At 43.8% G+C, this 17,117-nt stretch overlaps 3 annotated features.

Moving 5' to 3' along the window:
• Window positions 10,868-11,044: a silencer, noted in NCBI's record as "fragment chr1:182112509-182112685 (GRCh37/hg19 assembly coordinates)". NCBI's record gives its function as "represses an EF-1alpha promoter that drives an FKBP-Casp9 reporter gene in an ReSE screen in phorbol 12-myristate 13-acetate-treated (for megakaryocytic differentiation) K562 erythroleukemia cells {active_cell/tissue: K562(+PMA)}" and the evidence as "EXISTENCE:reporter gene assay evidence [ECO:0000049][PMID:32094911]".
• Window positions 11,053-11,721: an enhancer, noted in NCBI's record as "H3K27ac-H3K4me1 hESC enhancer chr1:182112694-182113362 (GRCh37/hg19 assembly coordinates)". NCBI's record gives its function as "activates a minimal SCP1, AML or CMV promoter by ChIP-STARR-seq in primed H9 embryonic stem cells {active_cell/tissue: H9 hESC(primed)}" and the evidence as "EXISTENCE:reporter gene assay evidence [ECO:0000049][PMID:30033119]".
• Window positions 11,722-12,389: an enhancer, noted in NCBI's record as "H3K27ac-H3K4me1 hESC enhancer chr1:182113363-182114030 (GRCh37/hg19 assembly coordinates)". NCBI's record gives its function as "activates a minimal SCP1, AML or CMV promoter by ChIP-STARR-seq in primed H9 embryonic stem cells {active_cell/tissue: H9 hESC(primed)}" and the evidence as "EXISTENCE:reporter gene assay evidence [ECO:0000049][PMID:30033119]".

The raw sequence follows: 17,117 nt of genomic DNA on the forward strand, positions 1-17,117 counted from the left end.
CACTATACCATCTCCATACACTCGTTTCTACTATCATCCGACCCATATAAACTAGACAGGAAGCTCTGAGTGTCTGCCATAGACCTCTGCAAGCAAAGCGACCCCAAGCATTTCTTTCTGCCTGAATAATTACGGTTCAGTTCATCTGTGATGAGAGATATCAGCCCTGCCACAGCTAATTACTATAGGAATTGGCCTTCAGTCAAACGCAATCAAGTATGGATTAACTATGATGCAGAGCACTACTCAATGTGCTGTGTTGGGGAAAAACTCTATCTAGTGGTGGTCCTTCACACTGGATAGCAACAATGCAATCACATCCTCTCTTGGGAAATGTAAAAGATACTACAGAAAAGGAGGGTCACAGGAGTCTCTGCAGTAACCTGAATCATGTCAAAGTATTTTATTGCTCCCCAGTCCAGTCTAGGCCTAATGTGCATTCCATTTTGAAAGCCTTGGACCAGAATGTGGAACACAGAATGGTTGCAAAACTGCTGAGCACTTGACCCATTCCCTTACTTCCCTGTAAATTCCAACAATAAAGCTCCAACACTTAGCATAAGCTGGGTGTGTCTCTTTTTTTCTTTTCTTTTCTTTCTTTTTTTTTTGGAGACAGAGTTTTGCTCTTGTTGCCCAGGCTGGAGTGCAATGGCACAATCTCGGCCAACAGCAACCTCTGCCTCCTGGGTTCAAGCGATTCTTCTGCCTCAGCTTCCCAAGTAGCTGGGATTACAAGCATATACTACCAAACACGGCTAACTTTTTGTATTTAGTAGAGACGGGGTTTTGCCATGTTGGTCAAGCTGGTCTCAAACTCCTGACCTCAGGTGATCCACCGCCCTCAGGCTCCCAAAGTGCTGGTATTACAGGCATGAGCCACTGCCCCCGACCGTGTCTCTTTCTTGTAGCCTGAAACAGCAAGAGCCTGACTAATATACTATATGTTGAAAACTTCAGAGCATTTAAAGATTTCAAAAATATTTGACGTGTCATTTGAAGACTATAAAGTATTATGATAACTCCACCCTGAAAAATTCTTCCAAAAATTTAAACCTCATCTAAAGCAATTAGACATTTGGAAAATCAAGTAAATCATGAGAAACATACAAATATCAATATATAGACATCTAGAAAACACAATATTTGTAAGTAAAACTATTTGTTGTTTCAGCAATAGGAGGAATGAGCAAAGGCTACCTTAAGGAAACACAAGCACGTGGCATGGGCCCAATATTTCCTTTGAAATGTATGCCATGCCTGTAACTCCCTTTCTACTTGTACTGGGATGCCTAATTCAGACCCTTGGTGCTTTATAGATGTGTCTTGCAATAGAGATGTAATGACTGGTTCCCATGATTCTGGTCTATGTGTCCTTCAATTTGTCCTGCATGCCAGAACAACTACATTAATGCCACTTCTTTGCTTAAAATGTCTCTGTGGCTTCTATTTATGATCCTCTTTCTGGGTTGCCAGGAACTATATCATCCAGCCTTATTCCTTTGTACTCCACACCTAATTCTATTCCAGCTTAGCCATCTCATCATGAAAATGCTCTGCTCATTCCCATGGCTCTGCCCTCACTCCTCATATTTCTTTCTCTTGGCATAAGGACCCCCTTCATCAGCTCTATCCTACTCTATCTAAAGGCTGGCTTATGTCCCACCTCCCACCTGAAGCCTTCCCTGATCTATAGAGAAAAAAGTAGATTAGTTGTTGTCAGAGGCTGAGGCATAAGGCAGGTGATATGGTTTGGCTGTGTCCCCACCCAAATCTCATCCTGAATTGTATTTCACATAATCCCCATGTGTTTCGGGAGGGGTCCAGTGGAGATAATTGAATCATGGGGGCAGTCTCCCTCATCCTGTTCTAATGATAATGAGTTAGTTCTCATGAGGTCTGATGGTTTTGTAAGGGGCTTCCCCCTTCTCTGGGCACTCATTCTTCTCCTTCCTGCCGCTATGTGAAGAAGGACATGTTTGCTTTCGCTTCCACCACGATTGTAAGTTTCCTGAGGCCTCCCCAGCCCTGTGGAATTGTGAGTTAATTAAACCTCTTTCCTTTATAAATTACCCAGTCTTGGGTATGTCCTTATAGCCATGGGAGAACAGACTAATACAGTGGGGAAATGGCTATGACTGCTAATGGGTATGGGGTTTCTTTTTTGGGGAGATGAAAATGGTCTGGGATTTGACAGTGGTGATGGATGCATGATTTTTATCAATATACTAAAAGCCATGAAGCCTTCCCATCTCCCACATGAAGCCCTCCCTTGTCACCCACACCCCTCACTCACCTGCACTCCTCTAGGAACTTCACAGAGCTTATTATTTTAGCTCACAAATCAACCCTTATAGAGTTACTGCTTCTCTGTATGGGCCAGATTTAGTTGCTAAGCTAGATAATATACACCTTGACTTTGAGTATGAGGAAACTGTTTTCTTGTTGACATTGAATAAATATCCTAAATTTTACCCACAATCCCTAGAGGCAGCTTCAGAAAGCAAGATTTATTAGGAATCTCTTTTTGCCAACAGGGAAATGAAAAACGTGTATATTGCAATCTCCTGTAGTCAGTGTTCAGCCTGAAAAACAAAAACTGGTGAGCAGGTAGTTCTTACCACCAGAGGACTGTTAATACTGTTGCTATTAACTATAAATATGATTTGTAATAAAAGCCCACATGAGACATAGTGCCATTAGGAAACAAGAATTCCCAGAGGCCACACATTAGGAATCAGGCTGTGTGATATAAAAAACACTGAACTGGAGTCAGGTAGTCTGGGATCTCCTGGACCTGCAACTCCATCGCTGTATGACTTTGGTCAAGTCCGTTAATTTCTCTAAACCCTACTTCCCAATTTGGAAACAGAGCACATCAAACTAGTGACCTCTGAGGTTTGTTCTAGCATTAAAATTCTGGTGACTGTTGCTATGCCTGGGATAATTTCTCACTAAGTTAGAAGGAAACATTGGGATATCTTACAAAATGACTTGGCCTATTATCTATTTCAGAATGCTGCTGACCTTCTGTTCTCGGTTATTGGTATCCTATCTGGCTAAAGAAGCTCCTTCCTTGGTAACCCAGGGGGAGACCCAACTTTAGCCCCACCGTTGGCCTTGGGGCCAAACTACTGCCTAGCCTCTGCAAAACTTGCCAGTTGGCTTTTAAGATTTTCTTACACATATGCTTATTTATTTTCAGTTGGTTAACCTTGAAGTTGAGGCCAATTTTGTTTTGTGACTTTTGTTCCAAGCTGTCTGTTGAACAGTTTAAGTCTCTTGGAGCCTTTTATTTAGCTGAACCTGGATTGTTCTGTTCTGGGAACTGCACCCCCCTGACTCCCCACCGTGGTGCCCTGGATAATTTAGGCTGCAACCTCTCCTCCTTCCTCTAGTGACATTGCAGAGCACCTCTGCGAACTATGATGCACACACCTTGTTTTATGAGATTTCAGTTCCACAAGGAGAATAACAGAGAATGGAGTAGCTGAATGACTGGACTTGAATTCAGTGCAGATTTTGTGACATTCAGGACATTTTTTCTCCTTTTTTGTTAGCAGCCCCCAGAGCTATCTAACCACAGGAGCTTGAATGACACACCTACCTCTCAAGATTATAGAGTCTGCCTCAAAAGCCACCACTATGCCAGCTTCCTGTGTGGGTCTATAGACCCCTTGGGAGATCTACATGATAGTGCCTGAACGGAGACTGAGCATTAGAATGCATCTTAATTTCAAGCACATCAGCTCCACTGCCAATATGGATTCAGTGATCCAAAGTGTTTAAATCCAAGTCTGGGGTGCAAGTTGATGCTCTTAAGTGGCTGTTGTGGACCTGGGGTTCCTGTGACAGTAAACTTGGGCTTGAGAAAGGATCCAAAGAGTGCCTGGGCCTCAAGAAGACACTACCAAGGAATGAATGGCCCTCACTGAACTCCTGTGACATAATAAGATATCTTCACCATTGAATAAGGGATTTTCCTTGAAAATATTATGCTAATTGAAAGAAACCAAATTGTAGAAGGTCACATATTATATGATTTCATTTATATGAAATGTCCAGAATAGGCAAATCTATAGAGACAGAAAGTAGATTCATTCTTATCAGAGGCTGAGGGGTAAGGTGGGGAAATGGCTTTGACTGCTAGTGGGTGTAAGGTTTCTTTTGTGGGGAGATGAAAATGTTCTAGAATTTGAGATTGGTGATGGATGCATGATTTTATCAATGTACTAAAAGCCATTGACTTGCACACATTAAATTAGTAAATGGTATGGTACATAAATTACAACTCAATAAAGCTGTTTAAAAAAAATACGGCATTCTGTCTACTAAAATAAAACAAAAGAAATAAGTAAAACCAGACTTTCACAGTCAACAAGTCTGTCATCAGATAATGCTGATTAATAGTAAAACTGTAATACACTCTCCCTCTGAAGTTGGAGTGGGCTCTGCTGAAAATAGAAATCTCAGGCATATGAAGAGGTTGGTGTCAGTCTGTTCTTCGTGGAATACATTTAATGAGAATCTTTTGCTTCTTTCTCTAAAGAAAGTAGAACTGAAAGAGGAGGGTGTCAGTTTCTTAGCAGCTTGCAAAGCCCAAATCAATATAAAAAGAGCTTCCATTTCTCAAGTATCTTCTAGGTATTCAGTGAATACCCAGGGTTAAGGCTATTTACATGCATACTTGCTAATCCTCACCACAACGCTGCAAGGTAGATATTCCTATCTCTGTTTCACTTAGGAGAGAAATTATGTTCCCAAAGTTGCAGAGCAAGTAAATAGCAGAACCAAGATTAGACCCAGATCAGTCTAACTCCAAGGCCTTTGTCCTCAGTATCTCTCAACCCTCAATTAGAAGAGTTATCACGGCCCTGGCTGAACCTGCCTAGGTTATTTAACAAATTTTTAGCATTTTGAAGCCATTCCATTCAGTTACAGCAGCAGTTACTGTTCAGAAATTTACATTCCAAAAACTGAAATCAACAAGGCAATGCTGCTTGTCTCAGCATTGTAGTTTTGATGATTCTTAGAGATGTGTTATGTTATTTAAGACATTTTTAGTGGCTCTCACTGCCAAAGACTATGGATCTCATCATTGCCTGTGCCCACAAGGACCCTCTGTTCCCTCTGACCTCAGGCCTCTTCCCATCCAACAAGCCTCTCTGCACTTCTATGTTCCCCTACTGGAACAAAGTCAGAACTGGATCTGCTGACGCCACATATAGGTATGGAATCTGAGATTGCTCTATTGGGATCATCATTCTAGACACTTCCCTCTGCCATGGCAGGCTTTTGCTTCCATGCCAGATTGACATGATGCTATACTGAGTGAGGACAACTCTGAGAGACCCACAGTCTTCCCAAGCTAGACCCAGGGAAGCAGTTTGGGGGTTCCCCAAATATATTTGGCTGTTTGCATGGACCCAGGGGGATTTAACCTCAAGGGCAAAATAAGAACTCTCATCTCAGAATCCCTGCCACCCTCTCTGTGCCCTACTCTTCATGACTGGAAGAAGTTTTCTCTTCCCTTAGGGGTGGGAATGCCAAGTCATATCCTGCTTCTCTCAATACCGTGCCTCAGAGTAGAACCCTTTGCTCAGACCCCTCAGGTCTGCTCTGGATATATAAAGGGAATCTTTGGAAACATACAAAACCCTTTCTCTCTCAATAAATCCTGGCTTTCAAGGTGAATTCCTCTTCATGGACCCAAAGAGTCTAATTTCAAATGGAAAGCTCAGGAATGATCTCTTGTTCTGGACCAGTTCTACCCAGGCTCTGATCTCTGTGTGTGAACTGTTTGTTACTGTCTGCAACAATAAAGTATAGGAATTGAGAATATTTGGAAACTTTTATAGAAATTTGGCAGAGCAATTTTATGTTGTTGAATTTAATTAAAATCTTGTACCTCTTATGTCTATGTCTGTTAATTTTTCTAGTAATTTATACTTTGATTACATCTTTTAAAATGACAAGACAAGTGTTCTGTAGTTAGATGGCCTATTTCCCAGTGGAAATTCTATTCCTACTATTGGTGTGGAAAATAATAATAATAATACTTTAGGGGTCTGAGCATAGGGTTCTACTCTAAGGCATGGTGTTGAGAGAATATGACTTGGCATTCCCATCTCTAAGGAAGGAGAAAATTTCTTCCAGTCATGAAGAGTAGGGCACAGAGAAGGTGGCAGGGATTCTGATAGGAGAGTCCCAGTTTTGTCCTTCAGGTTGAATTCCCTTGGCTCCATGGAAATAAGTAGGCTGTCACACTATGGAATCTTACTAGGCTGAACATTTTTACAAACCTTGAGCTTTTCTGAACTTGTCAATACCTAGTCACTTACAATTTTATAGTTAGAAACCTAAATAATTATCATTTTTTAGATCTTTCCAAATTAACCAAAAATTTCTATTGTACTTATCGTTCTCTAATTTTTCTTGAAAAATTTCCCCCAGATATTTTGATGGTATTGTGATTATGAGATAAACAGCAAGATGGATTTTTTAAAAAGAAAAAACCTACAATTTATCAAAACTAATTCAAGAATATATATAAAACCCGAACAATTTTTAACTAAAAGAATTTAAATATATCATTTAAAATATCTGGCCAGACTCAGTGGGATTACACCTGTAATCCCAGTGCTTTGGGAGGCTGAGGCAGGAGGATTGCCTGTGGCCAGGAGTTCAAGACCAGCCTGGGCAACATAGTGAGAATCTGTCCTTTATTTAAATATATATATTCCTACAAAGAAAACTCTAGCCCCAGATTGCTTCACTGGAAAGTTCTATCAAATATTCAAGAAATAGATAATGCCAATCTTATGTGAACTATCCCAGAGCATAGGGCATAGGTAGGTAATGTAGGGACACGCATCCCAGGCAGGAACAGTACGTGCAGGGGCACAAAGGCAGAGAACACAATGAATTGGGGAAACAAGTTGTTCAGTATAGCTGGAGCTCAAAGGACTTCTTGGAGAGAATCTGAATAAAGCAAAATATCAACATCAACTGAAAACTTCTTGTAATAATATCCTAGAAACGAAGAAGTCCTGACTGTCTCTACAAGTGCCCTTAAATGGTGTCTTAATCACAAGTCTTTTCAAGGACTCCTATAAGTCTGCACCTGGGATGGCAGATATGCTGAATACAAGCTGCCTTGCCCCACATCTGGGCCCATAATATTTATGATAATAACAACTTGTATTTATTGAGCACTCTACTAGATACAGTGCTAAGCACTTGACATGAATTATCTCAACAATCCTTACAATAACCCTGTGAAGCAGATGCTATAATCTATTTGCATTTTACAGATAATAAACAAGCCTGAAAGTGGTTAGGTAACTTGCTTAAAGACTTGGCTAGTAAGTTGCAGAGATAGGGCTGGAACTTCAGTCCTTCTAGCTATAATAGTCATGCTCTTGGGCTACTATGCTAGCCTGCCCGGGCCAGATATCACTAATTGATAATTGCATTCTCTTCCTTCTTTTTTCTTTTCTTTTCTTTTTTTTTTTTTTTTTTTTTGAGATGGAGTCTCATTCTGTCACCCAGGCTGGAGTGCAGTGGCACAATCTCGGCTCACTGCAACCTCTGCCTCCCGGGTTCAAGAGATTCTCCTGCCTCAGCCTCCTAAGTAGCTGGGACTACAGGCACGCGCTACCACGTCCAGCTAATTTTTGTATTTTTAGTAGAGATGGGTTTCACCATGTTGGCCAGGCTGATCTCGAATGCCTGACCTCGTGATCTGCCCTCCTCGGCCTCCCAAAGTGCTGGGATTACAGGCGTGAACCACTGTGCCCAGCCGATCATTGCATTCTTTTTCATTCAGCACAGACCAAGCCTCCCAACTTCTTTTAGTACAGTGTTCTAGGGAGCCACTGTAGATTAATCAGAATCGGCACATGAGATGGGATCATTGCTGCCCTTGGCTTATACTCCAGTGATGTTATCTCAGATGCAGCCTCAGATTCTGATTCAGCACTGGAATCCTGAACAAGTGACATCAAATGCTGATCTACCACCATAAATTGCATTCTAGCATGTTTACTTGGAGTTTGCATGGTTTTCTTTATAAGCTCTCCTGGTGATCCTAAGGTGCAACCAAGGCTGACAACCATCTGCCTTTCTTATTTCTGACCCTTTAAATCAATCTGAAGCACTCAGGATTGCTGGCCCATAGAGAGAAACTGAAAATCCCAGCTTGCCTTAGCTACCATTACCAAAAACCCAGCTCCTTCACCTGTTCCTAACTAACTTTTACTTTGTTCTCATCCTTCTTGGCTCTCGGGTCCTGTGTTGCAATGGGTGGAAACAGCCAAGTTTCATCTCAGGCTGTAGAACCCAACCCTGATCTTTTCTCTAAACAAGCAGGAACCCTAGGAGCTAGACAGAGGCTGGGATGCTGTATCTTAGAAACCGGAGATGCTGGGGCTCCAGGAATCTTGCAGAGGGATGTAGTGCATGGAGGTGAGGGAGGGATCCAAGGGAAAAATGGAAGTTAAATTCATGGGCAACATTCCAGAGATTCATCATCAAAGCAGAGGACCTAGGCAAGGAGACTCTAGGATCATGATCCAGGGAAAACAGCACAGAGAAGGGAAGGGTTTGTAGCAGAGTTCAGGTGGTGAAGCCTGGAGAAATTCTCTAAGGTGCAGATAATACCTGCAGCTGTGGCTTACTATAAGCCTATGACCTGAGGCTGGGTGAGGTCACCCTGTAGCCTCCCTGGACCTAGCTGTTTACCTGCAGAGCTCAAGGAATTTGTGTGGTTATCCTTTTGCCACCTCAGCTTCAAATAAAAGGTTTGGCAAAGGTTTGGCTTTGGGGAGCCTAAAGCAGGATTTTGGAGATTAGCCAAAGAGACTACAGAGATTCCTTTCTTTTTTTTTTTTTTTTTTTTTTTTTTTTTGAGATAGAGTCTTGCTCTGTCACCCAGGATAGAGTGCAGTGGCATGATCTTGGCTCACTACAACCTTCGGCTCCCGGGATCAAGTGATTCTCATGCCTCAGCCTCCTGAGTAGCTGAGATTATAGGCATGTGCCACCACACCCAGCCTTTTTTCTTTTTTTTTCTTTTTTTTCTTTTTTTTGAGACGGATCCTCGCTCTGTCGCTGAGGCTGGAGTGCAATGGCGTGATCTTGGCTCATTGCAACCTCTGCCTCCTGGGTTCAAGCAATTCTCCTGCCTCAGCCTCCCAAGTAGCTGAGACTACAAGTGTCTGCCACCATGCCTGACTAATTTTTTGGTATTTTTTAGTGGAGATGGGGGTTTCACCATGTTAGCCAGGCTGGTCTTGAACTCCTGACCTCAGGTGATCTGGCCACTTCGGCCTCCCAAAATGTTGGAATTAAGACATGAGCCACAGCACCCGGCCCCTATTTTTGTATTCTTAAAAGAGACCAGGTTTCCCCATGTTGGCCAGGCTAGTCTTGGCCAACTCCTGACCTCAAGTATCTGCCCACCTCAGCCTCCCAAAGTGCTGGGATTACAGTCATGAGACGCCATGCCTGGCTGGGATACTGAATTTTGAATCAGAAAATCCAGACTTTACAATAGTCAAAACCATATCTTATTTGTCTTTCTGCTCCATTACCCAGGATTTTACTTAGAACATCAGTAGACACCTGAAAACATTGGTCAAATAGAAGTGAATAAATGATTAAAGAACAAATTAACAAGTAAATGAAGCCCGACATAAATAAAGGCCCTGCTAATCCACCAGCTACACTCGTGTGACAAAGGCCCCAGAGATACCCATGCTCTATATCCATGGAATTGTGCCATGGGGCTGGCTTACTGGGGATTCTATTTACCTGTGGTCTTGACGGGCCTCCCTGGAGAAACAGTAACCTGACATCTGGAGAGTACATTTGGCTCTGTGAACTAGGTCAGATCTGCAGACTTGTGGTTTACCCACTTAGACCCATGCCACACACAGCAGGCCCCTGATGAGAGCCCTGGCATCCTTGCCTTGTGCTTCTTCACCATCCCCTCCCAGATCTCACCTGGCCTCTTTGGTCCCAACTGTGTGTGTGCCTCCTCTCCTCTCTCTAGCTTCTTGCTCTTCTCTATGCCCTTTGCCTGACCCTGCCTCTCTGGTTCTGACCTTGGCTCCCCTCCTGTTTTGCAGTGAGCATTTACCCTTCAGATCATATCTGCAGCTGCCACTCTGGGCAAACTCCCTCTCCCTCAAACTTGGCCTCCATGTCCATTGGCCATAGGCTGATTTTCCCACTGTGCTTGGTCAGGCTTCATGGGTGGAATTCAGACACCAGGACTGGGCATCCTGGTCAAAACCAGGGGCAAACGCTCTCACCTGCATTCTTGGGCGGGAGGCAGGGGTCCCAGGCGGCCAAGAAACTCACCCCATAACTGAACAGAGGTGGCATGCCCACACTCCGTCCCTGGACAAGGGAAGCTCAAATTCAAATAGTATACAACATTGTGCTTCTCACATAGTAAAACCAGTCTTTCAGAAATGTGTCCTGAATTCCTAAGGGGAGGAAGGGAGAAAGATCCTCCAGAAAATAAAAAAAAAAATTCCAATAAAACGAAGTTGGTCCACTGGCAATATAGTACAAAACAAAGATCTTGGTAAGAAAACATCTCCCTGATTTTGGGGTTCCCATGAAAATAACACAGGTCCCCATGAAAATAACGTAGATGAAGCAGCAGAGAACTGACAAAGGCTGTGGAAACATGGAAAGAGTAATGATAACGCAGAAATCAGAGGTGAAGTAAAAGCACAAGTGAACCTTCACAAAGCTGGGCTAAGTGATATTAACGTAGCTGCTATTAACCAGAAATTCCCAGTCAAGTCAACCAGGCTTGGCAGTGGTGGCCACCAGAGGGCGCTAGAGTAGAGTCCGTGGGAGAACTTCAGCGGTGGCCCTGCAGGTTTGAGAGGCACCTTCCCGGAGGATGGATTTGAAGGGCTGAGGGTCCAGCAGTTCTGTGGGTTGGCGGCTCACAGGAGAAAGCATGAAGACATACTTCCATCCTCACACCCCCGAAGGTCCTTGCCTGGACTGGAAGCTAAAGAAGCGCATGCTACATTGTTTTCCTAGTGACAAAAATCCCAGCTGGCCTCTGGTTAACTTTTCAAACAAATGGCACTGATGTGATATTGGGCGAACTCTAGGTGTCACTGACCTAATAAAAAGAAAAAAGCTATTTGCTTCCCATTTTCCGATGCAGTGAGGATTTCACAGTGATCTCAAACACAGTGAAATACATAAAAAGAGCCTAGCTTAATGGGGGCACCCAGCAAATGCCCAATAAACATCTGTTCCCTTTCCTCAATAAACCCCATTTGCCTCTCAGCCTGCAGCCTCCCACACTGGTGGACCCACGTGCCCCTCAGAAGTGAAGCTTTTGGCCCCTGTAAAGCAGCAGCCCCTCTGGCCAGAGAGTCTTTTGTCCCAGAGCCTTTGTTGTTCCAGATTTCTCACTGTGAGGCCTCAGCAGCTGCCAGGGGGCCACCCCAGGAGCTGGAATCAGAGCTCAGAAAGACAGCAGTCCTTCTTCTGCTCCTTTCTGGGCCCGCATGCCCCAGCCCCACACCCAGCCTCAACCACACTGCCCTGCACACCCTCACCGTGCCCCCACTTCTCCACAATGTGTTTCTAATCTGCCCAGGAACAGTCACCAGCTCACTTTTCCTGCCTGGTCTCATTAGCGTGGCCTCTGGGCCTGGGCCTGGGTGTGTAGCCCAGAGGCTTGCACGGAGGTGATCAGATTGCAGGGAACAGTATGTTTCCCTCCCTGCCTCTGCTTGTTTTCTTCAGGGGCCAGGGCCAGCCAGCTGAGCTGTCTTCCTCTTCCCCGGCTTCTCATCCTCCCTCACACATGGTCTGACTTCAGTGGGTGGGGGGATGAGCAGAGGGTGTGACACACACGAGTGTGCATGACTGGCATGTAGGGAGTGTGAGTTGTGGGCAGGTTTCTTAAGGGGAGGCAAGGCTGCTACTACTCCGGGAAACAGGCCTGGGAGCCAGGGGGAGTGGAGGAGGAAGGCCAAGCTGGGGATTTGTACAGACCAGTTCTGGCCAGATCTCTTAAAATGTTTTGTTCTTGCATTGCTGCTGCTGCTGCTGTTGGTTTTTTTCCCCCCTTCCCTGTGCTGAGCTGTCATTTCTTAGTCCAGCCAGGCCCTTATGAACTTCTGGTTCCTCTAAACGGTAAACACCCTGGTTTTCCAGACTACACCATAGCTCTCTTTTCTTATTTGCCTTCAAAATACACTTTAAAAAAAAAAAAAAGAAAGTAGAAAATGGCAATATCAGTGATAAGGGCAGGGCATGCACTGAAAAAGAACAGTTCAATCTAACATTTATCGAGCCTGCCACCTTCCTCAGCTTTATTCTCTCCTTTCTTGTTCTTGGTAACAGCAGATAAGAAATCAGCTGTGGGTCAATACGTGAAAAATGTTCACTCTTTTAGAGTAGTATTAAAATAAATATTTTCAATGACAACATTAAGCAGTTAATAATTAAAGCATGTGCATATGTATACTTAAAAGGGGCTGGAGTCCCTTCTGTCCAAATCAAATTTTCCACAAGCGTTGGTAACAAGGTGGCTGGGAATGTTGAGATGTGAGACTGGCCTTCCAAGGATCAGGAGGGCAGCTGGTGGTGGGTCTGCTCTCTCTCATCACTCTCAGTGGCGACATCACCGTCCATCCTCCCCAGTACTAAGATCTGCTTCAGGAAAGAGCCTGAAACCAGCCACATGTATCTCATGTTGGTGAAGGAAAATCACAGTAGTGGTCCTCAGTGGGACTCTAAAATGACTTCACATCAGCCTCATTTGGTAAATGAGGAAACTGAGGCTCCAAGAGGTGATGTGTGTCACCCAAGTTTCCATAGCAGAGCTAGAAAAAGACCTTGTTCCTGGGGTCCTGGGAGAGGGTCCTACTGCCCAGCTCTGACGGATGAAAGGAAGGCTTTTTTCCATGGTACCAGCTGTTGCTATGGGCAACCCTAGAGATCACTCTGTGGGGTGTGGGATCCTTCGGGAGAGCTTGTGCTTCCATTTGGAGAGACTTCACAAAGAGGGTGTGCCATGGGGACTAACATAAAAAATCAAGAGTGGGGAGACAGAAAGAGGAAGGTCAGCAGAACTGTCCAGATTTCTACAATGCCCGCCCTTCTTAGGCAAGCTAAGCCATCTACGTGTTGGGGGCATGGTTGCTGGCCCTCCGGAAACCCCTCGGATCTGAAGAGCAGACAAGAGCATCTGTCATCTCACAGAGATGCCTTGGGATTTGAATACTTGTTTTGTCTTTGGCCTGGAGTTTTACTCTTAGAGCTCCTTGCCCAGATATTCCATGGTAACCCACTGTCATATTCTGCATAGTCCTCTGAGATAAATATGGAGAAATTATGGAATGCAGGGGAAAGAATTCTGAACTTCAAATGAGAAGAGCTGGGTTTGTGTCTGGCTTCACTCCTTACTTGTGTCTAATCAAAAGCAAATCAAAATTGAAAGTAAGAGCTAAATTTTTGTTAAGGTAGGATTTTAAGGCAATTGTTAAGTCAAAGATGTATCTTAAGCACCACATTCAAAACCACGTATTCTCGTACATCACTCTTACTGTATTTTCTAGACTCTAAGAAGCCATTGACTAAGACACAGCAGCGAGTTAATAACAGCTTTTAGGGGGAAAGGAGAAGAAAAATGTTTCTCTGTTAAACATACACATCAATTGTAAGACACAGGATCTCTGAAATGTCAGGTGTGAAGATCAAGCTTCTTGGAATGAAAGAAACAGTGGTATTGTTAACATTTTGAAGGAAGACTGGCTCAGGGAAGGGCAAAAGACATTTTTGAACACACGGCTACTTATCGGGTTAGTAGAATGTTCCCCAAATTCTCCTTTGTAATACCTACATCCTCTTTGGCTGTTCCCCTCCTGGTCCTCAGTCTTTTGTTTACCTGTCATTGAAACTTTCCACCAGTTTGGCCAATGGCCATTGTGTCAACTGCAGCTCAGACTTGTCCAGGCAAACACCGGCTCACTGACCAGGTGCTCACCAAGCCTCAGGGTACACATACCAGCCCCGCGGTACCATACCCTCAGGGTACACAACCACACCCACAGACACCTGGTAATACTGCTTCATACTACATTAATTTTCCTGTAAGCAAACTTTCTGACTTAAATCATTTTGTTTCAGAAGTAAAAGTGATAATTTCACTTTACATGCAAAACCTATATCACTTCTGTAGATACAAAGTAAGCATAAAAATAGTAAAATGGGCCAAGCACAATGGCTCACACCTGTAATCCCAGCACTTTGGGAGGTCGAGGCAGGCAGATCACTTGAGGTCAGGAGTTCGAGACCAGCCTGGCCAACATGGTGAAACCCCGTCTCTACTAAAAATACAAAAATTAGACGAGCATGGTGGCGCATGCCTGTAATCCTAGCAACTCAGGAGGCTGAGGCAGGAGAATCACTTGAACCCAGGAGGCAGTGGTTGCAGTGAGCTGGGATCATGCCACTGCACTCCAGCCTAGGTGACAGAGCCAGACCCTGTCTCAAAAAAAAAAAAAAAAGTAAAATGGAAACATAGAAACTTAAAAAAAAAAAAACTATGTTGATTCTAATACCTTGTGTGTAGAATAAATCCAATCAATTTATGAAAATAATTTCCTCACTGAGAAAAATGAAACTGTAATCTTTCCATAAGAAAGGAATATTCAACCCCACGTACTAAGTTTAAGAGAACAGCGAGGAGCTATGTCTGTTAGGGCCAGTTACACGTAGGAGCCACAGTACCAGCTGCCTGCAGAGTAGCTGTGTGACCACAGGTCAGTTTCTCAACATCTGTGCGCCTTAGTTCCTTGTTTGTCAAACAGAAATGAAAATAACACCAATTTGGGGGTTATTTCTGATGACTAAATGAGTTAATGCATGCAAAGCACTTATGACAGTGCCTGGTATTTAGTAAGGTCTCAATACATGTTAGCTATAATGATAATCAGTAGTCAGGGTATTACAATTAGTAGTATTCATGACTTAAAATTCCTACTCACTGGAGTTGGAGTCAGAAAGATTTTTAAGACATTAACTGTTTTCTCTCATAAGACTGGTTACTCAGGGTTAGTTTCTAACCAAAATGATGAAAGTAGCTGTTGCCCAACAACTGCTCCTTAAAGAAGCCATCTCCAGGATGGAGTGTCAGAATATGTCCAGTTAAATCTGGTCATGTTTGGAAAGTGATGGAAAGTGGGTTCCTAATCTACTCCCTGCCACATTCCAGTTTAGAAAAATACTTATATATTTTTTTCATTTTCCAAGGATCACTATGTTCAAAACAATTTTGAACTAGTTATTCAGACGACTTCATTACCATGTGCTTCAGATAATGACAATAGTTTTTGATAAAATTTGAGTCTGGTTGAACGCTTGCTTGACTAGAAGACACATGTGTGGGTCCTTGGTGTACTGTCTGGGCCAGTGACCCCTTGCTGAGCATGAACTATATGCTATGCAGGGTTAAATTATTTAATTCTCATAGTAACCCAATGATTTAGGTACTCTTTCCCCTTTTTACGGCTGAGGAAAACCGAGGCACAGAGTGGTCAAGTGACTTAAGATTACAGTGTTAATCATGGGTTTGAGACAGAATTCAGAGGCCTTCCTCGGTGCCAGAACCCTGTTCTCCAAACTCCTCGGCCTCGTGGGAGTGACAGTGTAATCTGAGGCCACAGCCCTGCCTTAGCTTTTCCCATGGGCCCTGGCCTCAGAGAAAGGCACCAGGGTGGGATGTTCTGCCCCTATAGATTTCTGCTGGCCCAGCCCTACCTGGAAACCCAGATGATGAGCAAAGAAGCCCCTTGCATGGGTGTGAGTAACAGCATGTGGGGGGTCTCCAATGGCCCCAGGCAAGAGGAGGACACCGTGGTTCCCTACCCGATTCCCATCCTTCCTTCCTCCTACTTCCTTCTCCTATTACTGTTAAACCCTACCCCTCAGTGGCAGGCACCAACTTTCCTACCTCCTTTCCTCTACCAGCAAACTTATCAGGTTAGGCCGGTAGACTATGTTTGATAAAAACTGAATTGGCACATAGTAGGTCTCTAAGGTGTATGTGAGCAAATGATAAATATAATTGGAATTTTCTTTGACTGTATACTCCTTCCTTATGGGCAAGAACTCTGATTTCTCTGTTTCATTAGAGCTTATTATAGTGCCCAGCACATACTAGATGCTCAAGGAGTATCAGTTACTGAATGTCTGGTGCAAAGGAGCTGGGAAAAAATCTAAAGGAGAAGGGATGAGTTTGGGTTTTATTTTTAGTGCCAATGTTCAAAAATATTTTTTAAAAATGTTCTACCAAACCCAAAATATTTCATTGAACACCTGGGACATCTCAGCTCTGGGAAGATCTTCCTATTACATCTCACTGCCTCCCTATTCCTGCTTCACTCTGGAAGTCCTCAGGTTATTAGGGAAAGCTCTAAAGGTGGAGGGCTGCTGGCAGGGAGATAAACATGCAGGGACAAGAGGCAGGAGTGGACGAAAACTAAGAGATACAGCAAAGATGTACGAGAGTAAGAAAACACTTGCATTCCTTCCCACGCACAGCCAGGTTGCTAGGAAGGACCTAAGACCTATGTCAGCCCTTGCCACCCTTACCAGGCAGTGACCTTGGAGAGGGACTTCAGAGACCAGAGCTTTCATACTAAAGGAAGATTGGAGGTTGTGATTATTGTTCACTATCCGAGGTCCAACTTTGTTCTGATTCAGTCTCATTTCTTTCACATCTTGACTGTTACTGAGTACTGGGGTTTCTTTTCAAAATAACAGAGATATGTGAACTCAGGAGAAGCTTCAGGAAGAAGCCTTTGAGGGGAACCTGGGGTTAGGTTTTAGAGGAAGACAGAAGAAGAGGAGGAGCTGTCTTTGATAGGAGCATCTGACGACAGAAGATCTCTGTGGAGGTGCTTCTGAAAGACTGGTAACAGAGGGCTCCATGAGAAAGCTCGTCAAGGGAAGGGGGAAGTGGTTCCGAGAAATGAGCTCAGAAGAGCTCTGACTTCACGTTGCCATGGTGGCAACATCCTTGCTCCATTACAACATACATCACCTAACACATGACAAAAGCAGTCTGC

Source organism: Homo sapiens, chromosome 1 (genome assembly GCF_000001405.40).
Source record: "Homo sapiens chromosome 1, GRCh38.p14 Primary Assembly".
In the NCBI taxonomy this organism is placed as follows: Eukaryota; Metazoa; Chordata; class Mammalia; order Primates; family Hominidae; genus Homo; species Homo sapiens.